At 37.6% G+C, this 24,926-nt stretch overlaps 1 long non-coding RNA gene across 2 annotated transcripts in view; it reads left to right on the plus strand.

Annotated features, from left to right (window-relative positions):
- LOC105373907 (uncharacterized) overlaps window positions 1-24,926 on the plus strand; it is a 40,025-nt gene that overhangs the window by 9,055 nt on the left and 6,044 nt on the right. Inside the window, exons 2-5 of one of the 2 annotated variants that reach the window (NR_187972.1) lie at window positions 1,038-1,131; window positions 7,354-7,435; window positions 8,004-8,090; window positions 8,268-9,251. This is a non-coding gene — a long non-coding RNA (uncharacterized LOC105373907). Of the gene's footprint in view, window positions 1-1,037; window positions 1,132-7,353; window positions 7,436-8,003; window positions 8,091-8,267; window positions 9,252-18,071; window positions 18,154-24,926 lie in introns of those variants that run through there. The other variant, NR_187973.1, reaches the window with a different exon arrangement.

Below are 24,926 nucleotides of genomic sequence, written 5' to 3' on the forward strand. Positions count from 1 at the left end.
GCTCAGTAGTCTTTACCAGACATTATTTTCACAGTGGCACAAATAGCTTTCTTTTTCATAATGGCAAGAATGACACTTTATGAAACATGAAAATGAGATTGTTATAATGTGTTGTGCTTCCAAAGACTAAATATTAGTTGCAGATATCATTAGTTGCAGATATCATTATAAAGCTTTTCACCATTTTCATCTGAGAGTCAGTCAGTTGGTCATCCATTCAAGATTATGGCCAATAGAATGAATGGATTTGGGGTGCCCTTTCCTCTCCCCTGTATCTACTCAAATAGCTCAGCGTCAAACCCTCGTCTCTGAGGTTTTCCACAAGTACTCGTGCCCCACTTAATAACACCTTTCAGTGGACTCTTATGGCATTTAGTTCACATAATTCTATAGCCAGTACTGAAAGTAGAAGGTCATCTGTCTTACAAACCAGGCAAAAAACTGGGAATGATGAATGAAGGACAATGAACACATTTTTTCATTCTACCTGATTTTGCTAAGGATGAACCCTGGTAGAAAAGAGGCATTATGTTGCCTCTCAATAGGAGCTACTCAAGAATTTTATTATTTCAAGTGGGAAACAATGAAAAGTTCTGAATTAGCAATGATATGAGAACAACCTGTAGTGCCTCCTACCTCCTCTCTATTTTCCTCAGGGACAGCAACATGGCCCAGTTAGAAGGTGTGGAAATGACAGTGCGTGTGGACAGTGAAGGTGTGCCCAGTACAGGAGGGTATGCCAGCATCTCCAGGATGGGTGGCCGGTGTGATATATTCCTCCTTCCAGGAGATCTCCACTTATGCCACTTTCTAATATCCCTAAAAAAATAGCAACAATTGAAGGTGGTTGGTATCAATAGAGACTGCCCATCTGGCAATAATCGTGGAGCCTTTCTTACACTATTTTTTTCCCTCAATATTTCTAAGGGCAAATGTTCTATGTGTGGCAGGTTTCTGTCGATCTCATCCCCTACTGCGGGTAGGAAACTCCTTAGACCAAGCATAACTGACACTGAATTGTCCTCTGCTTATTCCAGGGTAAGGAGGACATCTTGTACAGCAGCAGTGACCAAAATGAGGGTGAAAGCGGTCTACCATAGAGTGGAATAGCTATATAATTCCTGACCTCATGTGAGTCCCTGAGACTGAATGCTTCCTTACCTGTATTTCTCCTTCTAAAAATCTACCAGCCACAGATACTAGGGTTAACTCTGAAGAATCACCCATCTTTGTTTTCACTTTCAGTCTTCATTTAGATGGAAGTTTGAGCCTGTTCTTCCTTGGAGGAATGTTATGCTATATTGTGACATATGAAGTGACCTTTTCCAAAATGTCACACACTAGAAGAGGAGAGAATTTCAATATTCTCAAGCTCTGCTTTTATGTTGAATAGTAATCAAGAGACATTTTACCAAGTATGAAATACTGGATAGTCCTGATTCTTATCATAGGTGATATAGAGCTAGTGGAATCAGATGACTGAAAATTCACCCGCTCTTACAGAGCCTTGTTATGTATAACTCATTTAGGGAGATTTAGTACTACACACAACTGGGTGCTATGTTCTTATTTGATATCTCAAATTGTCCATGATATTTTAGAAATTTTTGCATGTTCAAACAAGCTAATGCAGTCTGAAGCTAAAAATTTTTTTTTTTCAAAAAGCAATTTCAGTGGAAGGACAATCTAATTCTGGGCAAATCTAAATGTCATAGACTAGAATTACAAGCCTCTAAACTACACAATCAAAAATTCAGTCACTATTGGCTGTTTGCTATTTTTCAGTTAGAGGCTTTAAAAGGTGAAATTTTTGATATAGTTGATTCAATTAACTTAGTATTCAGCAGACAGAACCTGAAAAATACAGAAACGCCCAGTAGACGACAGATCCAAAGAGTGAATTTCGGTGAATGGCACATGTTGATCTAATACTAAGGAGTATTAGCAGCCAAACAAATGGAATATTTATGAATCAGATCATTAAAGCTGTTCTTTTATGATACAAGCTCTATAAAAGTATTTTTAATACAAATTATATTACAGTGGGGTCAGAGGATTCAGCTCTATGAAGGCTGAGTGCATACCAGGGAGATGATAGGGATAACAATTTGCATTTTTATGATGTTTTATGTCTTCTAAGCTGCTTTTGGAAAAAGAGGGGACATAAAGGCAGAAAGAGAGTATATTGGCCAATTGATTGGGATCAGACATGCCTGGGTTTGATTCCCATCCCTGCCACCATGACGGAGACAACTGACCTATCACCAAATCCTCTGCTTCCTCAGCACACAACAATGCTACATTTCCTGGCCTCCCTTGCAGATAAGTGTGACCATAACTACATTCTAGTCAATGAAACATCAACACAAGTGCTGTGCAGCTTAGCCTTGCCTGTATAACATAGGGAATTCTTCACGTTCTTTCTCCTTCTGCCTCCTCGAGGCAGAGAAACAATGGTGGCCTTGGAGACCAAATGTAAAAAACTGTAAAACCACAACAGAGAAAGGTCCTAAATCTTTGCATCGCTGCTTAGAGGAGGGCTTCTCACCAATTAGAATCACCCATTTTGGATTTTACATGAAAAATAATATTCTATTACATTAAGCCACTAAGAGTTACGGGTTTATCCTTCATAGCAGCGCACAATATTGTAATGAATATGGCCAGTTTTTTCCCGGATTTTGGTCAAGTTACTTCTCTATGCCTCAATTATTTCCTCAGTAAAATACTGGTATTACTAGTTCTACCTCGAAGAGTTGCTAGGAGGACATGCGTAAGGCGCTTTCACAGTCCTTGCCATGAGGTAAGCTCACAACAGATGGCAGCTGTTATTAATCACTTTTGCTGATGCTTAATTTTTGTTCAGCATTGTGCTATATATACACATTGACACACACATATGTTCTCATTTAACCATCAAAATGACACTGCAATGCAAGGACTTTCACTCCTACTCTGTCCATAATAATAAATGTGATAAAAAAAAAATTGGGCATTTTCTGCATGGTCAGTACTGTTCCAAGCACTCTGCATGCACTGATACTACAAACAACCCTATATAGTATGTATTATTATTATCCTCATTTTACAGATGAGGAAACAGAGACACTGAGATTATTCTTTGGCCCCACGCCCATATAGCTAAGTAAGTGGCAGAACCAGGATTCCACTTGGGAAATCCCGCTGTAGAGCCAGATTTAACCACATTCTAGAGCTGGCCATAACTACAATGCTGGTCTCTTAACCAGCTCTGGTCACTGAGGTGTCCGAAGTTTGTCAAGGTCAAGTGAAATGCCTGAGATCTAGATATGAGTACCTATGGCCTTAGAACGTGATGGCTCAAATCAGAAGTGAATGCAATTGAATCAGCCCATCCTAACTGAGGAATTTAGTAGAATATAAATCTACTAAAGCAGTGCTAGTCCTGCAGGTTGGCTTAGTACAATAGTTAGGAAGCTGGTGGTGTTTACGCAGAGCTATATAATGCTACTAGCTCTCTAAACACTGGTATCACTTACAGCTTTGTTTTAATCTTAGAATATGTTCCAAATTCACAAACGCTTGCAGACCAGGACACATGAACGGTATTTGCCAAGTACTTCAGTTTCTGTGGAATTTTATGGTTGGTTGGATTTTTAACCCAAGTACTGCTGATAGGTTGGTCCAGCAGTAGGACTGGAAGCAGGTAAAGTGAGACCAGATTTTTACCTTCTGTGTCTCTGTCATTAAGTCTAAGATGAGTCATCACAGAAAGCCTACAAAGCAGCCTGGTTTCTGGCTTTCTTGGGGAGATTCTAGAACATTAGTGATGCTTAATAATTTAAGTGCAGATGTTGCATGGACTGTAAATGCAACCAATTTGCTGAATTTAATTTTTCTCATGAGGAATATTGTGATGCTGCAACAGTGGTGAATCCACTTGCCTTACAGCTCTTGGAAAAAAGGTCTGTTTTACTGGTAAATGTTTTTGCTTTTATATAGGCAGAGAAGGTTTCCTTCTGTAGCAAATTCTGCATTTAAATTATCCATTGAACATTACAGAATGACTGATTCATTGTCTAAAATACATGATTGAGTTTTATCATGTTAAGGGTAAGTTCATTATCTGCCTACTGCTCAAACTCAGCGATAAAAATAGTGCAAAGAAAAAGATGTGTTGAAATATAACACTATATTTTTCTGCTCTTGAAAAGCACTCTGCAAAATTATCTCATCAGTCCTCCAAGACTTATACAGCAAAGAGCTATTACTCTATTATCAATTAAAGGTACAGTCAAGCTCTAAGTTAGAGAATGGCTCTAGAAACTATCTAGGTCACACAAACTGATTTATTAAAGGATATATAAAAATTAGGGGAGAGATACTTGGGGCCAATATATTTTATAAATGACTTTGTTTTATAAAATATGATTATGTACTAAATACTGCAATATGCTTATTATGTTTGTCTAAGACTGTGTTTACCATATAAAAATCCAAAGCATTTTAAATAAGTGAAATATATGCTGTTAATAATGATACCAAGTGTCTCCTTGGAGTACATAGTAGAACACCAGGGTGAAGCTTGGTCTATGCAGCCTGTGCAACCTTGGGCAACCATCTGGCTTCTCTGTGTCTCAGTTTCCTCATCTGCAAAACGTGGAAATAGTATCTCCTGCATAATGTTGCTATAAGATGAACTAAATCAATGTATATAAAAGTTTAGAACAATGCATAGCCTAAAATAAGTGCTTGATGAATGCAAAAAGAATAAATGTTGTTTAGCTTTTACAGTTTCAATCATAAGATAAATAAATTCTGGGTATCTAGTATACAGTATGATGGCCATTGTTAATTATACTTCATTGTGTACTTAAAATTTGCTAAAAAAAAAAAGGTAGATCTTATCAACACATATACACTCACGGTAACTATGTGAGGTGATTTGTTTGTGTTCATTAGTTTGTTTGTGGTAATCATTTTACAATGTATACATAAATCAAATCATCACATTGTATACCTTAAATATATATAACTTTTATTTATCAAATAAGCTGGAAAAGTATATTAGTTATCTTTTCTTGGGGGAGCATATATTACTCTTTTTCAATAAAGATTAAGAATAATTTTATTAAAAACTAATGCACCAAAAGAGGATGCTTCAATTCCAAAAGGTGTGAAGGAGGTAATTAAATGTTAAAAATAAATATTTCCTACCTTCCCTACTGAAACTCTATGTTAAGAGAAATTAAAACTGGGGTGACAAAGAGGCCAATATTTCCATTCACTACTTGTCATTGTCCAACCTGGAAGTGTTTTGGGGTAAGGAGGAACAATCAGGTATCATTCCCAAATTCCTAATTTGGGTGGTTTCCGTTTTTAATGCAACTTATCTCTAGGAGAATCATTCACATCTATTCAGAACGTACTTTACCTGTTCAGTTTGTTTAAATGAAGCCGTTTGGAGAGTTTGGATTGTTAAGGAATATGAACTACAAGTTTATAACGTGGGAAATTTTAGGTGAAAATTATGAGAGAACATCTCAGTGAAGCAATTTGGATAGTATGTCACTTATCTCCTGCTGCTTAAAAAAAAACCTCCCCAAAACTTACAAGCATGAAGCAACAACCATTAGCCCAGCTTATACATCTTTTGGGTGACAAAGTAGATTGGGCTCAGCTGGGTGATTCTTCTGATCTGGGCTAGTTTGGGGCATTCTTGGCTGCCTTAGGTCACATTTCTGGAGGCTTGGCTGGAACAATTCGGCTGACTTCTCCATATGAGCTCTTATCATACAGCAGGCTGGCCTGAGTTTGTTCAAATGATGCATACAGGGAGCCAAGAGCAAGTAGAGGCCTGCAAAATATTTTCGGTTCTAGGATGGGCACTGGAATGCTTCCACAGCATTTCTTGGATCAAAGCAAGTCACAAGACCAGTGCAGACTCCGGGACTGGAAAAATAGACTCCAACACTTGATGGGAGGAGCTGCAAAGTCATGTCACAAATGATGAGGAGAGAGCCAAAGGAAGGATTAGTGGTCCAAATGTGCAATCTACCACGGGTAGCCAACATCATTCCTATGTTAGCAAGAAGAAGGCTGAAGAAGGCCCCATCAAAATCAGAGAGAATCAAAGTTCATTTTGCAAATTGGCTGGGACCCTCATAGCCTTAAAATGGATGAAGCTGGAAACCATCATTCTAAGCAAACTATCACAAAGACAGAAAACCAAACACCACATGTTCTCACTCATAGGTGGGAGTTGAACAATGACAACACATGGACACAGGGCGGGGAACATCATACACAGGGGCCGGTCGGGGGGTGGCGGACTGGGGGAGGGATAGCATTAGGAGAAATACCTAGTATAAATGACGAGTTGATGGGTGCAGCAAACCAACATGGCACATGTATACCTATGTAACAAACCTGCATGTTGTGCACATGTACCCTAGAACTTAAAGTATAATAAAAATAAATAAATAAATAAAAATTAAAATATATATATAATTTCTATTTTTCTGGCATCTTATTTCATTCTGTTGTCTAATGTGAAGCAAGATTTCATGTAAATGGAATTGCTGGCCAGACCAAAACATTCATGTGTGTGTGGTTCATGCTAATTCAACCCATATGACTGGAAAATCTGAGAGATCCTTAATTTTCCTACTATTAGGTGAAAATTAACAATTCTTTAAGAATATAGATAATAAATTATTTGCATATCATTGCTCTTGCTTTAGTTTTGTCAAGTGTGACAGACAACTTTTCATAAAGTACTTCCCCACATTGGAGAGGGTGGAGAGGAGGACAGCTTCAGTAATTCAGTGCATTAATCCAATAACATAGTATCATTAACTAAGGTAAAAACACCTTTTCAATGGATACCTCTGGAACTCTCCCTTTTGGTGTTATGTAATTGTATTGTAAATTTAACTAAGATTTATTTTTAGAACGTCAGCGTTTTAGCAACCACATCTATCAGTCCACCAACTACAAAGTCAAGACTCTTTTTGAAAAAGGCCTCATGAATACAAGTTAAGACAGTAGCTAATGCTTTTAACTAAACAGCATAAATACATAATGCAAACAAAGACAATTCTTCAAGATGCACATAGAGGGAAAATATAACCTTCAAGGTTTAGAAAATGTCGGGTGCTTTAAAATTAAATGGTATGAGAAATATAAAAAGCTAGAGGTAGTCCAGAAAAATAGGAGAAATAAACAACATTTGTTAAAGTAATTAGAGATGATAGTATTAATTAAAGTAATTACAGATGATAGTATTAATTAAAGTAATTAGAGAAGATACTATTAATCTTGCAGTCTCCTCTGGCATAATAAATGTGGATTACATTCTCTTTGTCTCTTCAGACCAAAACTATATAGAGGAGAAAGTAGGACAACTTTAGAAGTTTATGAGATGACATGAAAATGAGACATGAAAACAATCCAGGTAGGTAACTTAACATCTTGAAGTGTTAGAGCTGAAAAGATTAATAGAGATTAGATTACATAATCCCTCATTTTAAAGCTGAAGAAACTGAGTTGTTTGCCCAAGTTCGCACAGCTAACAGGTAACTAATCTACTCCCCAATAACTGATTTTACTATACTTGCCTTAGGGCCTGATCACAATTGCTTAGTAAGTTCCCAGTCATGCTCATCCAGTTTTTATGACCTTATTTTAACATATGTGAAATATTTTTAAATTAATTTCTGAATATTTTAGCATGCTGGAGAATGAGGGGCTCATAGCTAGGATCAAAGACTTCATTGAAAGATATGGTTTGGATGTGTGTTCCCTCCAAGTCTCATATTGAAATTTTTACCCCCGTGTTGGAGTAGGGCAATAGTGGAAGGTGGGGGTGATGGAGGCAGATCCCTCATGCTATTCTCACAGCAATGAGTGAATTCTCACTCTATTAGTTCGTGTGAGAGCTGGTTGTTTAAAGAGCGTGGCGCCTTCTCCTCTTGCTCCTTCTCTCACCATCTTCCCCCTTTACCTTCCACCATGATTGGAAGCTTCCTGAGGCCTCACTGGAAGCTGAGCAGATGCTGGTGCCATGCTTGTACAGTCTGCAGAACCATGAGCCAACTACCCAGTCTCAGGTATTTTTCTATAGCAACACAAAATGGATTAACACATTGAACTTCTGACTTAAATCTCAACTCACCTAATCACTGGGTTTTTGCAGATGAGATATGGGTAAGTTGGGTTTCTGAAAAATGTAGGAAGGGCTTCCACTTCTATAAACATGTTCAGCTACGTCTCTCTTCTCACCGAAGGTCCAGCACTGCTTCAAACTGGATAAATAAGCTACGATTTCAGGCAATCACGTGAGTAGAGGAACATTGAGCTCTTCATTTCTTTAGAGCATAAACAGGCATCAAAAGAGGTTTTTTTTAGAATCGCTTGAGTTGTTGATACTCTGAGGACAAAGTGTTGCCCACTAGAAGGAAGGACCATGGGGAAAAGCAGACCTAATTATATGAGACATCTCCAACCTTGGCAGCCCCCATGGCATAAGTACTTCACTCTCATAACCCGCATAAGTACAGTTGTTCTCTGTAGTAAATATGTGATGTAAATTTGTGGAAATAGGAAAGGATGGGAGAAAGAAAGGATTCAAAAAGGAAGAGGGAAGGGGAGAAAAATAAAAAGAAAGTATCATTTAACAAGAACTTTTGAGTGTTCGTGGGTGGGCAGAGAGGAAGACCTGAGAATTAATGGAGAGAAAAAAGATGTGGCTACAGATGTAGGAGGTGAGAGGATTCTAGAATGAAGATTAATGTGATAAAGAGGACATTACATAATACGTTGGTGGGTTATAAATTAGTCCTCTTTGTCATTATTTTTAAAAAATAAGTAAATAATGCAATTATTTTTATGACTATTGCTTGCCTGATAGTACTTCTTTGTATCCCACAAGGCCTTGACTTTTATGGGATGACATCACCTGTTGCTTTCTGAGTTTTCATCAATTTCTAGAGCTGCATTTTCTTCCACAAAACCTCTTGTTCTTAGTAATGGCTGCTCACTCTACCTCTGGCCCTGCCTATAACTCTGTTGGCTCATGCTGCCAGATACCTCTCTGTTGCTGTGGAGAACTGAGGAGTAACAACATGATAGTACAGCTTAAAATAAATACTATCATAGAGAAAAATAAAATAAAATATAAGGATCAGGGGAGAAAATACATTTGTAGAAACAAAGAAAATGAGAAGACTATGAAGTGTTGCTACAATTAAAATGTTGATTCTAAATCTGTTTGAACTTCAGTTTCTCTTCTTTTTTTCTGAGTGATCAGATGGCTCATATTCTGAATGTGTTAGCTTAGGCATTCAGCTTAGAATACACGTTGATTAATTCTGAATTATTCAGCGTTAATCAGGTATTGCTTCAAGTTTTCTTCTTTGTGCTTCATGTCTCCAAAGTCAGAAAGTTGAGCTTAAATACTTCTGAATAAAGTAATTCCTAAATGAAATGTGAGTGTGGCTCTACCAAACAGGAGGGGTGTTAGCTATGCAAGGCTGGGCTGCCAAAGGGCAGTTTGGAAAGAAAAGGAAGCAATTTCTCAAAAGATGGATGGAATTGATATCAGGATATAATCCTGTCTATTTAAAATGGTTGTATACCTATGTAACAAACCTGCACGTTGTGCACATGTACCCTAGAACTTAAAGTATTATATATATATAAAATGGTTTAGATGACACGGTGCTTAAAGGCAGCATTGCTGATGGGCTCTGGGACCAATACGGTGTTTCCGAGAGCTGCAGAGAGCTATGGGACTCTGAGTATTATGATATCCAAGCCTTGGGATAATGTTCAGGAAAAAATGCACAGGGGAAACTGATAATGTTTGCTATTAATGATGGGGATTGGGAAAATACCTAATGCAGTGAAAAAAAAAAAAGTGTGATTTAGGTATGGGTGGCCCTATGCCCAATCCTGATTCTACCTTTTACCAGCCATGTGGCTTATTCCATCTGAATAACTAAGCTTTGGTTTTTTATATTCAATTTGGCACCTAGTGGATATCCAAATACTGATAACTATTAATATGACTTTAAACATAGGCTTCAGTGCATAGAGCAATGGTTTGAAGTCACATGGTTCTCCCACACTTCTTTGGGGTTGGCCTTTAATGCATGAATGAGCTCACCTGATTGGAAGGGGACACAGTATCCTGCATAAAAACAGGAATTTCATCTCCAACTCCTTCTAACTCAAACTATCCTGTGCCATAAAGGTTAGAGATGTGGTATTGGTGACTCAAAGATACCATGGCAACATGGAGGAGTCCTAGGGAGGAAGGCTTAGCCTCAGAGCTTAGATGTGGAGACAGGCCTGAGATCCAACCCTTTTACTTTGTCCCTGCACCAGTGAAAACGGTAGCGAGCTGGGTCAGGAGAAGCCAGTGCTGGTAATTGTGCAGCCTATGAAGAAAGTCAGTTTTATTCTAAGTATTCATGCTCTTATCAGATTCTAAAGTTGACAGAATTGGCACGAAATAAGATCTGCATGTTTATGTCTGAGAATGTTTCTTCTGGACCTCTAAACCCATAAAGTCTCTAAAGATCAGATTTGACTTTAACTTTTTTTTTCATTTTGGCCATGCAGTTTATCCAGTGGAATGTGGTAAAATATGAACTAAATTTCATGGGCCAAAATAAATCTCTTTGTTAAAGTTGTGCCATTTCTAACCTATTCTTTCCAAATGACTTTTTTTTTGTTACTTCTTAGTATTTCTTGGTTGACCAATTTATACTTGTCATCTTAATCAAATTTGATTTATTTGGTTATATTTTTAAAGAGCAGTGTACTCTTTCCATCACTTCTCCTTCCCCAGAAATATTTTTTAAATGTTTTTCTAAAAAACAAAACAAAAAAATCTTTACTTTTTACTCCATCCATTGGTTCACTCCCTGGGCACCGCTTGTCCAGCCTCCTATTTATTTCTTAACATCTCCCTACCTATCCCCCCAATTTTTCCTAAAAATGCTTTCTTTGGGAAAGGAGCATCATCTGCTCATCAGCTATATAAACTGAAAGGCTCGAGTTTCTTCTACTCTACCTTTGCCTTCCTCCTCCACAACCAGAGGTCACTAAGATCTGTCCATTTTACTTGCTGAATGTCCTTTTTTAAAATAATGGCATTATAGATACATAATTCATATACCACAAAAATCACCCTTTTAAAATGTAGTCAAGTGGCTCTTATTATATTCACAGAGTTGTGAAACCATCACCACTCTCTATTTCCAGAACATTTTCTTCATTACCCCAAAAACAAATCCTGTACCCATTAACAGTCAGTCCCTGTACCTCTCCCAAGTGCCTATCAATTGACTTTTTGTCTCCAGGATTTGGCTATTCTGAATAATTCATATAAATGAAATCATACAATGTGTGGTCTGTTGTGACTGGCTTCTCTCACTTAGCATAATGTTTTCAAGGTTCATCCACATAATAACATGTATCAGCTCTTTATCCCTTTTTATGGCTGATAATATTCCACTATAAGGAGGATATACCATATTGTGTTTATCCTTCCAATGGACATTTAGGTTGTTTCCACTTTGGGCTATTATGAATACTGCTGTTATAAACGTTCATATGCATGTTTTTGTATGGATGTGTTTTCAATTCTATTGGGTAGATACTTAAGGAGTCAGATTTCTGGATCACAGGGTACTCCAAGTTTAATATTTGAGAAACTGCCAAACAGTTTTCCAAAGTTGCCGTGCCATTTTACAACCCCACCGGAAGTGTATGAAGGTTTGACTTGATGAATATTGAAATTTCTGCACCTTCCCCTCCATCACACTATCAATGCCTTATTCGGGTCCTCATCACGTCTAACCTGAAATATGACCATCAACTGATTGACCTAGCCATTGCTGCCCAGGCTTCCTGATCCATCTTCCCCACTTCCACCAGGGAGCACAAACCTGACCAAATCACTTCATGTTAAAGATCACAGATATTTCACATGGCCAAAAGGACTAAACATAATCTGGTGCCAGCTGCTTAGCCTCTGCTTCCTCTCCTTACACCTCACACATCCTTTATGCTCAGCTTCTAAGACTCTTCACTTACAATGAATTTATTTGAATTTTAGGGGCAACGTGAGAATATATATTTCAGTGGAACCATGTCCTCTGCCATCCATAGCTGTCATCCAGAAAATATTTATTGAATACCCACTACTCTATTAGAAAATGATCATAACTCTCCTCCCTCTTACATTATCCATTATTTGGACCTGAGGTAAAATGTTGAATCGATCAAAAGTATTTCTCACATTTTTGGTCTTTATTTGATGGAAAATGCTCAATAAATTGGACAATTCACTGGACTTGAGCTTAAGATCTACTATTGATTGATATTATTATTTCATGTATTCAAAAAATACTTACTGAGCACTTAGTATATGCCAGATACTGTTCTAGACACCTGGGATACAAAAGAGATAAAATTTCCTGTTGTCATGAGCTTTCCTTCTAGAAGGGAAAGACAGGCAATGAACAAATAAGTAAAATACAGCATTTTAAATGACAATAAGTGCTACAGAAAATGAAAAGCAGGACTGGGGACAAGGACTGCTTGGAGAAGGTTGTAATTTTAAATAAAGTGGTCAGGAAAGGCCACACGGACAAGGTGATGTTGGAGAAAAGATCTGAAAGAAATCAAAGTTTGCACCATGTGGTTATCTGTGAGAGGCGTCTTCCAGGGAGAGAGGACCCTGAGGCGGGAGGGTGTTTGATGTGTTCTAGTAACAGCCAGGAGGCTAGTGCCCATAGAACCACATGAATAACAGTATGTGTTGAATGATGAGTCTGATTGTTTCGTGATAAAACTGATAATTACATGGATCCACCTTTTTACAGAGCAGGCAGCCCTAAGACCTCCTCAGAACAGGAAGCTAAGAAGCAGTAGGAGAAGATCAAACTAGGCTCTGTTGCTGTTTAGTGAACACCATGACCACTTGGGCTAGAACTTACTCTGAGAGATGCTTAGAGCCCAGTCATTTCCCTAACATTGGTTATTTTTGTCACTCCCCATCTGCTATCTGAAGAAGGGAGATATAAAAAGTCCAAGACGCCAAAAGAGGTTGCTTGCTTACTTCAGAAACAGCAGGGAGGCCAGAAGCTGGAAAGGTTTTCCATCGTTCTAACAGCCACAGGGCAGTGGGGGCTGCTGATCTGGAGAAGTAGGTGGAAGCAGTGAGGGAAGAATTGGACTAAATTCCCATGTGTCGGGGTCAAAAGGCAAGGAAGAAGAGATGAGGGCTGGCCAGGGAAGAGGACCACACTCCAGGGTTTGACTGGCAGGTGTTCATGAGACCTCTGGCAAGTTTTGCGACTATTTTGCAGGAGGACTGCAGCTCACTGGTTACCATGCTTGCCCTTCTGAAATAGAAGCTATTTCCTGCACTGAAGAATTTAATTATTGAAACCCAGATTGTCAGATAAAGTTACTGATTTGTGCTTCTCCAGAATATTCCAGTAAAAGAAAATAGTGCATACCACTGCATTTGTCTTTGCTTTTTTAAGCATTATTTTTTAAAGCAAAAATAAAACATGCACATTATTTCTAAAGTTAAATTATACCGGGTTTACGGCAGAGGAAAAAAAAATCACCTCTTTTTTCCCCACTCCTCTTTGTTGACATTCACTATCATCTCCTTTAGCTATTTTTTAAAAATCTGTATCTCAAAACTTTCAAATAACACAATCACACAGCTATTTTTCCAGTTTTATATGTTACCTATTAAATTCTCTCTTGCCCTCTTCCTAGTTCTCCAATTATCTCTCATTCTCCTAAAATAGTTATATGACTCTTGGGTTAAATTGATTCTCAGTGATTACTAATTATAACGACTTAAATTTTATTCCCAGGTAAGTGATAATGTCCACTAGCATCATCTTTCCTCTTGCATCACTTTCCCTCAATCTCTGCCTTACACTCTACTGTTTTTGTTGTGGTTGATGAGAATGATGTTTGTTTTGTTTTGTTTGTTTTTAAAGCTTACATTTCCCTGTCTTCGATTCTTTGTGCACACTTTTATGTCTCATGGAAAGTTCCTCTCCCACCCTTTCTCAGCCCTCCACTCCTCGGTCCACACAGGTTACTCAGCGTTTCCATCTTTAACACTACTGTCCTCTGGGAAATCCTCCTTGACACTCCAGCCTAGGTTAACCTCCTCGGGATATGCCAGTTACACTGCACTTCTTTAAAACACTCATCCTAGCCATCAGGTTTCATAAGGATAGGATTGTGTTGGTCTCCTTTCTCAGCACCAAAACACTTTTAGACACATAGTAGACTTTAAATAAATATTTGTGGAAGAAAGGGAAGGAGGGAGAGAAAAGATGAATGAAGGAGGAAGGAAAGGGCTCAAAGAGACAGAAAGAGAGAAGGAAAGGGAAAATGGATAGACTTACTATCCAATTTAGTGACTATTCTCATCTCATAACACATTAAGTACACCTTTCTAAGGATTTTGGTCAGCTATGGCTACGAGGAGTCGAGGTCAGGAGTTCGAGATCAGCCTGACCAACATGGTGAAACCCTGTCTCTACTAAAAAATACAAAAACTAGCTGGGCATGGTGGCGGGTGCCTGTAATCCCAGCTACTCGGGAGGTTGAGGCAGGAGAATCACTTGAACCTGGGAGGCGGAGGTTGCAGTGAGCTAAGATTGCGCCATTGCACTCCAGCCTGGGTGACACAGCAAGACTCTGTCTCAAAAAAAAATTTTTAAAAAAATCTGCTTTTCTTAATTTCCTTTGGTTTCCAGATAATCATGGATATGCAGATAATCATGGGAGCCAGCCACCCTCCTGAGTGCCCCTAAATAGGTTGAGAGGGGCTGGGGGCAACACATCAGACCATTTATCTTTCATCATTATACCATGTCATGGCTATGATGCCACTCTGTCCTGCACAATTTCCATGAGGTATATTTGCCCATAACTAAGTTGCTATCTTTATTTTTTGTCCTTCTTTCAGCACTACCTGAGGGAAGCTGTTTCTGTTTTTGTTTTTTTGGCAAATTTGACATTGCCAGCATAATGAGCCATCTTGCACTGAGCGTGAAAATCCCTACTGTCTTTATTAATTTATTCATGAATAACACATGCATTGCCAATTCTTTAGGGAAATTAGGGCATCTATACATACACATCAGCTTCTAAGCACAATAGAGAGGAGGGTAGCTGAGCTCTGCCAGGTCCAGGACCCTGGTGCCTATGGAAGATGGAGCATAGTTCTGGCTCAGAGTATGACAGTATTCCCTACATCTCATTCTCTTATTTTAAAGATGAGGAAATAAAAGTCCACAGAAGTAGGGTTACTTATCCAATGGGGTCATGTCTGTATCAGAATTCAGTCCCCTGACCCCGAGTTTGGTGATCTTTGAGTGAGCATAAGGTGCTTTATGCCATGATGCATTATGGTCAGGAGGAGAAGAAGGTAAAAGCCTGATGAAAATTTCATGCACAAGCCATAGAAACAGAGATGTTTCCAAGGAAAACAATTTAACTTCTCACTTCTGATTTAGTAATTAATCAGCATGTGTCAGTAGAAGATGCAAGACAGATTATCAAATTTTCCTAAATCAAGGACATGTTTTTAAGCCTGACTCTTCTAGTTCAGGGAATTATTTGGCCAAATAGCCAAGAGATTTTGGGCAATAGTATACATTTCTGAGATTATGTAGATAAGGTTAGGTGAGATAATAGGGAAAGAGAGAAGAAGAGAAACAGTGCATTTTTTACATTAAACAAGTCTTCGCTGGAGTAGTAAGACTATTTCTTTCTAACATAAGCAACAATAGAAGCTTTCTTAGGGCTTTCAGCCTCAGTGTTTTTCATTATTATGTAAAGGAAGAATCCATAAGCTGCTTTTCTTTAATCCTAAAAGCACCCATAAAGATGATTAGAACTTACCTTCATCGACATTTCAAAAACAGCATTTTTCTAATCTAAAAACACTGAGTTTATAAATGACCTGTGCTGTTACTGCCATCTTTGTTAGCCAGCCCCTATTGGTATGGCCCCAAGGAGCCAAAACATTTCTATACTTCAGAACCAAAGGATTCATGGGATCCATGGGATTGCCAAGTTCCTGTTGCCAGATGGAGAAAAAAACAAACAAAGTGGTTGGTGAGTCACATTAGGGCACAAAAGACTATTGGGGCTTGTATTAGTCTGTTCTCACACTGCTATAAAGAAATACCTGAGACTACGTGATTTATAAAGAAAAGATTTAATTGGTTCATTGATCTGCAGGTTGTACACGAAGCATGGTGCTGGCATCTGCTCAACTTCTGAGGAGGCCTCAGGAAACTTACAATCCTGGCAGAAGGTGAAGAGGAAGCAGGCTTGCCTTACATGGCCAGAATAGGACAGAGAGAAAGGGGGGAGGTGCCACACACCTTTAAACAACCAGATCCCAGGAGAACTCACTATCCTGATGACAGCACCAAAGCGCATGTTGTTAAACCATGAGAAACCGCACCCCAGGATCCAATCACCTCCCACCAAGCCCCACCTCCAACACTGAGGATTAAATTAAACATAAGATTTGAGTGGGGACAGAGATCCAAAACACATCAGGGCTTGTTTAGCTTCATATGCTGTGAGAGGCCCTGGACACTTGCTTTCATGCTTTCTCACTGCTCTTGAAAGAGCAGGAGCCCAGGGCTGGTCCAACCTCACAATCTCCCATGCATCCCAGCTGTACCAGTCATCCCCATCTTCTCAGTGGGCATGTAAGAGAGCCTCCCTCCAGGGGCATCCACTCAGTTCTTTCCTCTCTTACATGGCCCCTCACTTTTTCAAAGTACACTGTCTCTACCAATGAACCCTGTATTTATTCATTGAAATCCTCCTCTCCTGCATAGCGAGCATGAAAATGTAGATAAAGCTCAAAAGACATGGGAAGGGCTTTATACCTACATCAGAATATATTTTTACTAATTTATCCACTATCTCTAATTTTCTCTCCCTTCTGTAAAGTCTTGTTCCTGGCCCTAATCCCATTTTATTCCTTTATACTTTCATTAATTTATCCAACACATATGTATTGGGTATTTATTATGTCTGTGCAGTCTGTAGTTGCAAAATATAGTCTCAAAAGAGATTTGGGCAGAGTCTGGGACATTTGTCCCACAAGCCCCAATTTTATTTCTGTCCCTATCTCTACCTCTATCTCAATAGATAAATAGATAATCTTTAGAACAGCCACATTATGGATTAATTAGATGTTTGTGGGCTGGCCTGGGTACACAATCATTCTTTATGATGGTGATCCTCAATCTCTGCTCCCACACAACTCTGAAGATTCATGAGTTAGTCCTGTCTCAATTACAGTGAAGAGTTGAGGGAGAGAGGAGTTGAATCTATACTCTTGGAATATATTACCAATTTAAAAATTTCTGGGCCAGGTATGGTGGTTCATCCCTGTAATCCCAGCACTTTGAGAGGCCGAGATGGAAGGTTTGCTTGAGCCTAGGGGTTTGAGACCAGTCTGGGCAACATAGTGAGACCCTGTCTCTACAAAAAAAGGAAAAAGGGGAAAAAATAGAATTTTCCTCATTAATATTTCTTAAATCTTTGCCAACTATTGCTTCTTATCTGCAAGTAAGCCTAACAGATGACAGAAAAATTACCAATGATGAATGAACAGGGAATCTAAGATATAAATTGAAAAACTATTTTCATGGATGTGTGTGCTCTTGGTTATGATTTGACATTATATCCATAGGCTTAATGCATATTTTTGATTAGTTGAATGTTACTACTTCCTGTGATGAAATTAAATATGTCAGTATTTCATGGTGTTCTGTGAAGAGCACCATGCCATTCATGTGTGCCACCATCTGAATAAATTTGAGAATCTCTTCCGTATAGTACGTTTTCAATAAAATAATAAATATTAATAAATAACAGTTCTGCCGTTAATAAATAACTAACTGAAAAATGAACCTTTGGAGGTTAACTAGTTCACAGTAATAAAGCTACATAATACTTGTTTGTGCTTTCTAGTTTCTAGACATTTCACTTGCATTATTGCATTTCAGGGACTACAATCTATCTCCATATTCTGCTTGAGGAAATCAGAATACAGAGAATTTGAGTGGATTTTTCAAGCTCAAACAATTAGTAAGTGCCAGAGGTAGTGTTCAACTTCTCTTCATTTAATGCCAAATCCAGTGTTCATTTCCACAGTTTAAATCATTTTATTTACTATGAAAGAAAAGACTGAACAATATCCAAAGTACTATACAATAATCAAGCCAAGAGAAGAAATAGTAATGCACCAAAATCACGCCCTAAAATCATCAGATCCCTTGAAATATTGGAAGTCAAAGATCAGCTTACATTAATTTCAACCTTGTTAACATTTTCTCTAGGAAGGAAGAGATCTTAATACCATGAAACAACATACCGAATAATAGAATCTTGAAGTGCTAGTAGAGTCAAAAACCGTTGCAGAGAAGCATTCTATACAACAAAGCAATTTTCACATCTAAAGGAATGATGCAAAGAACATTGCTTTGTTGAATTTTTTAACAGCAAATTCTACCCAACAAATAATTCTGTTCAGCAGGAGTTTTCATTGATTCCTGTTCACATAACAGTCATTCTGTAATGGGAAAATAACTTGATTTTTGTGTGTTTGGGAAAGAAAATCTAGGTTAAAGTTTTATTTTTTTATACTGTCTTAAGTTCATGATCAAGGAGAAATCATTCTAACTCATCTTACATTTTTCCTCCAAAACACAAGCAAGTAATGATCATCTAAAGGGCAACTGGTGAAGAAATTCAAATCTGATCCCCTGCCTTCCCTTCCCATGGGATTCAAAGCACTTCTTTAATTTTTAAAATAATTTTGAGGGAGGGGCAATAAATCTGTTTCAGTTATAGAGCTTGGGCATTTACTTATATGGAAGAGAATACTTAGATAAATCTTGTAGGTTTCTGTGAAGTTCTTTATTTAAAAAAATAAAATCTGTTCTTGTTAAGCCACAGGCTTAGGAAACATTTACCAAGTCAATCAAATGGTCTTGAGAGTGAGAAATATTTGTTCTGTCCCATTTAAAGGTTAGGGTCGAGTAATCATTTTCACTTACTTATTCTAAATGGCAATATTTTAATGTTTGTACCTATTATAAAAGCAATGACATGCTTAAAATTAAATGATTAGTCCCCAAAGCAGAAAGCAAAAATTCCTCTTTATTAAGAGGCAGGAATATAAAGCAATATTGGCTTCATTTTGGCCTTCTCCCAACTAAGACAGCAAAGAAAAATTTTATCTTTGTTCCAGTATTCATTTACTTCCTATTTCCAATCCTCTTTTCTCTTTTCTTAATAATTATCAATATTAACATTTAGTATAAAGAAAAAATTGTAATGACTGATTTGGATCAAAGATAATCACTGTTTGACTAGGAAATAAGACCACATATATCTTTAGATGGTTTTTAAAAAGACCCAAATAGAAAGATCAAAGTTCCCACCACTAGGAAATGGTCATCACAACAATGATGAGTCCACAATGGACTTTAGGAAAGTGGAGATGATAAGGAAACTACCTGGTGATAGCTTTGTTAGCAGGGAATAGTGATTAGCCCATGGATCCTAAGAAAATGTTTTGAGAGAGGGGGATCATGGATAGGTGATATCTATTAAAGGATACCATGCAGGGAAGCCAGAAAGTAAGATAACAGAGAGCAAGATTCTGGATGAATGAAGCACGGAGTTTCCCTGCAGGATTTGTAAGTGTCCCTGAAGAATTTAAAAGATGGTCAGTGACTCCAGGGTTCCTATTACTGACATCTGATAGCATTGTCCTTTTTTATACACAGTGATTAGGTAACTAGAATCTTTACTAGCAGGAGGACCCCAGGCTATTGTCTAGATTTTGGGAGGGACTTATATTCGCTTGGCTATTGGCCAAATGAAAATACATGTGAAAGATCTTTGTAAACTGAAGAATGCTGTAATATCATCATTATTGGAATGTCAATGTTTTGGGAATCATTGGCACGAGAATTACGTGTAAAGCTTTTTGCTGATACACGGTCCTTGAGTTTCTTGAACTCTTGATAAACTCGTCTCCATCATGTGAAACTCCTGTGCTGTTTCAGGTTCATCAAGAACATTATGCCAACTCAACTAATTCCATTTTGTTAATGTTCCAGTGCAATACCATGGATATTAAGTATTAGATTTCTACATGACTGTTTATGTGGTCCAAAATATTTTCATGAGCAATATAGAGCAGCTTAGATTACTCGATGAAAACTTAACCATTTGGACATTACCGCATGAGTCAACTAACGTATTCGTTTCAGCTTAGAAGTGACTTTCAACTTGCCCACCAACAATAACAAATGTTTATTGAATATCTATGGGTCCGGCACTATATTAAGTGCTGAGGATACAGTGGTAAACAAGCTAGAAATAATTCCTGCCCTCAAGAAACTCAAAAGCTAGTAAACAAAACAGGCAATAATAAGGAAGCAAATGGTAGAATTACAAAATTTTTGAATGCTGCTACAAAAAAATCACACAGGGTGATGGAGATGGAGAATAACAGAAAAGGAATATCTAAACTGTCAAAAGATTTATACTTGGTCTTGCCCATTTTTTGTTTGTTTGTTGTTTTAACTTATTTTAAATTGCCTCATTGAGATAAAATTCACATACCTTCAAATTCACCCAGTTAAAGTGTACGAGTCAACGCTTTTTGATATATTCCCAGGGTAGTAAAACCCCAATATCTAATCTTGAAACATTTTTAATCACCCTTGAAAGAAACCCCACACTGATTAGCAGCCACTCCCCATTTCCCCCAAGCTCCCCCAAGAAACCACTAACTTTGTTTCTGTATCCATAGATTTAGCTATTCTGAACATTTCATATAAATGGAATGATATATATGTGGTCTTTTGTGTCTGGCTTCTTTCATTCAGCACATGGTTTCCAAGGTCCATCTATGTTGTAGCATTTATCAGAATTTCATTGCTTTTAAAAGCTGAATAATATGTCATTAAATGTACATACCACATTATATTTATCCATTCATCTCTTGATGGGCATTTGGCTTGTTGTTTGGCCATTAAAAATAATGCTGCTCTGAACACAAGTGTACAAATATTTTCATTCTTTTTTGTGGACAAATAATATTTCATTACGTGAATATAACATTTTATTTATCTATTCATCAGTGGATAAGCACTGGGTTGTTTTCACTTCTTGTCTGTTGTGAATAATATTGCTATGAATATTCATGTACACATTGTTGTGTGGACATATGTTTTGTTATTTAGCTTGGATACACACCTAAGAATGAAATTGTTGAGTCATATGATATCCCCATGTTTAACATTTTGAGGACCTGCTAAATAGTTTTCCAAAAAAGTTGCAATAATTTATACTCCCACAAGCAATATATGAGGGTTGCAATTTCTCCACATTCTCTCTAATGCTTGATATTGTTTGACTATAACCATCTTAGTGGATGTAAAGTGGTATCTTGTGGTTTTGAGTCACATTTCCCTAAAGGCTAGTGGGCACTTTTCATGTGCTTATTGGCCATTTGTATATCTTCTGTGGAGGAATGGCTATTCAAATGCTTTTCCCATTTTTGAAATTTGGTTATTTGTGTTTTCATTTTTGAGTTCTAAGAGTTCTTTACATACTGTGAATATAAGTCTCTTATATTTCCTTTCCTTCTATACTTGACCTTTCATTTTCTTGATACTATCATTTACAGCAAAAAAAAAAAGTGTTAAATTTGAAGTCCAGTGTATCTATTTTCACTTTTTTCACACATGCTTTTGGTGTCATATCTAAGTAACCATCACCCAACCTAAGATCATAAAGATTTAATCCAATGTTTCTCCTTAGACCTTTATAATTTTAAATTTTTTTAATTTTTATTTTATTGTTATTATTATTTTTTTTTTTTTGAGACAGCATCTGGCTCTGTCACGCAGCCTGGAGTACAGTAGCACCATCTTGGCTCATTGCAACCTCCACGTTCTGGCCTCAAGCAATCCTCCCACCTCAGCCTCCTGAGTAGCAGGGACTACCGGTGTGCACCACCACGCCCGGGTAATCTTTGTTTGTTTTTCTGTAGAGACGGGGTTTCGCCATGCTGCCCAGGCTGGTCTCAAACTCCTGGGCTCAAGCCGTACACCCGCCATAGCCTCCCAAACTGCTAGGATTACAGGCGTGAGTCATTGCTATAATTTTAAATTTTACATTTAGGGCTGGGCGCAGTGGCTCACGCCTGTAATCCCAGCACTTTGGGAGGCCGAGGTGGGCGGATCAAGAGGTCAGGAGATAGATACCATCCCGGCTAACACAGTGAAACCTTGTCTCTACTAAAACTACAAAAAATTAGCCGGGCAGGGTGGCACATGCCTGTAGTCCCAGCTACTCGGGAGGCTGAGGCAGGACAATCGCTTGAACCTGGGGCGGAGGTTGCATTGAGCCGAGATCGCGCCACTGCACTGCAGCCTGAGCGACAGAGTAAGACTCGGACTAAAAAAATAAAAAATAAAAATAAAAAAACAATTTAAAAAATTACTTTTAGGTGTAGGACCCTTTTTTGAGGGTTTTTTTTTTTTGTAATTTTTGTATGTGCTGTGAGACAGTGGTCCAGTTTTATTCTCTTGTATGTGAATATACATTGGCACCACCACTGCTCATTAAAAAGACTGTTCTTTTCCTCTGTTGAATTCTGTTGGCACTCTTGTTGAAAATTGATTGGCCATAAATGTAAAGATTTATTTCTGGACTTCCAATTTTATTACATTAACCTATTAGTCTGTTCTTATGCCAATAACACACTGTCTTGATTACTGCAGGTTTGTAGTACGTTTTTATATCAGGAACTGTGCGTCTTCCAACTTTGTTCTTTTTCAAGACTGTTTTGACTATCCTGGGTTCCTAGCATTTTCAAATAAATTTCAGGATTAGATCGACAAGTTCTGCAAAGAGCTAGATATCATTTTAATAGGGATTTTGTTAAATCTGTGGATCAATTTGGGTCATATTGTCATCTTAATAACATTAAATCTTTTGATTCATGAAAATGAGGTGTCAGAAGACTACATAGAGATATTTAGATATTCTTTTTTCTGTCAACAATATTTTTAATTTTCAGTGTATAAGATTTGCCCTTCTTATAAGGATAAAATCTATCCTTAGTATTTTATTCCTTTCAATGCTGCTGTAAACGAAATTGTTTTCTTAACTTCATCTTCAAATTGTTCATTTATATCGTATGGAAATACAATTAATTTTTGTATATTGACTTTGTATCCTGCAACTTTGCTGAACTTGTTTACTACCATCAGTTATTTTTGGTGGCTTCTTTAGGATTTTCTGTATAAAAGATCATATCATCTGTGTTGCCTCATTTTTCATCTTTAATTAGCGGAACAGATATAGAAAGAAAAAGAATTTAAGAAATTATAAGCAAATATTTGAAGTAAATTTATTCTTTGTATCACCAGGGACCAATTTTGTGATTACTAAAAACATACAATTTAAAGAAAAATATATTTGGGTACAAAGTCAAGAAAAATATTGTAAATAAGCATAGTTATTCAGCAACAGAGTAGGCTGCCTAGCGAGGTAGTGAACACTCAATAACTAAAGGTGTTCACTCAACAACACAGCTGTTCAGGGTGTGTTATAGAAGGGATTTCAACAACACAGCTGTTCAGGGTGTGTTATAGAAGGGATCTGAGCATCAGGAAATGAACTGGACTGCGTGATTTCTAGTCTCTTCCAATTTTGAATGTATGTTACTAATTCATTATATTTTACTAACTACTTTTATGTAGATATTTAACCACATAAATGCTATGAACAAGGATCAGTAAGATTTCCTATTTAATAATAAAAGCAAGACCACAGTGTGTTTCTGCATACAATTACGAGTTTTCTTCTGTGGGTACAAAAGTGGTTTCTATTATCAACCCTGCAAGGTCTAGGTTATGTAGCATTTCAGTAGGTCTTAAATTTTCCAGGAGCCATTCATCCCTGAGAAGAATTATTATCAGACATCTAAGGTATATGAATACTAATATTATGCATCTCCTTTCAAAGTGCTTTCACTCTTAAAATATCTCTGTGAGCTTTCAAACAACCCCCACTCTGCAAGGAAACTTAGAGCTCATTGAAGAGATTTATTCCTGCAATCTGGCTATATTTAACATCCATGGTGGAACAGCTGTGGTTCCACGGTGGAAGTAACAGAAATGGACACTTAAGCAAAAGGGAAGTTATTGGAAAGAATTCAGGGCCTCACAAAATTGATGGAAGTAGGAGACCCAGATAGTAAAGGAACATCAGAAGGCTAAGACCCAGAAGCATACAATTGTCTCATACCAAAATGTATATGGTTATTACTCCATACTTGCCACCATAAAGAATTCTATTCAGCTATTTCTTCTTCCGCCCTTGCTTCACACTTTCAAGTTTCAACGTCCTAAAAGAAAGCCCCCAGTCAGTCTAGATTAGGTCATAAGTTCATTCCATTGAAACATCAGAATGAAGAGAAAAATGCTGTGGACCTCTCAGCTCTATAAATGGAGGCATGCAGAAGGAATTAACCTTGCACACGCACAAAAAATGCAGAATAAGGGAAAGGTAACACCCTTGAAAGAAACTGAAGTACTATTGAAATTAGATGTTGGGTATTCAACCAAAGAACGCCAAATATTCTCTCCACACATGCAGTGCTTTTTTGGATTTATTTAAGAGCTGCTGTAGTTGCAATCCTGGCAACCTCAGAGATCAGATTTTTCTCTACTATCTTCTCCACAGTAGAGATTTGTTGTGGCACTCTGCCACCTGTTATTTTTTGTCTATAACACAAAGAAATAGAGACAAAGTTTTTGCCTCAAAAATGT

This window comes from Homo sapiens, chromosome 2 (assembly GCF_000001405.40).
Source record: "Homo sapiens chromosome 2, GRCh38.p14 Primary Assembly".
Lineage (NCBI taxonomy): Eukaryota > Metazoa > Chordata > Mammalia > Primates > Hominidae > Homo > Homo sapiens.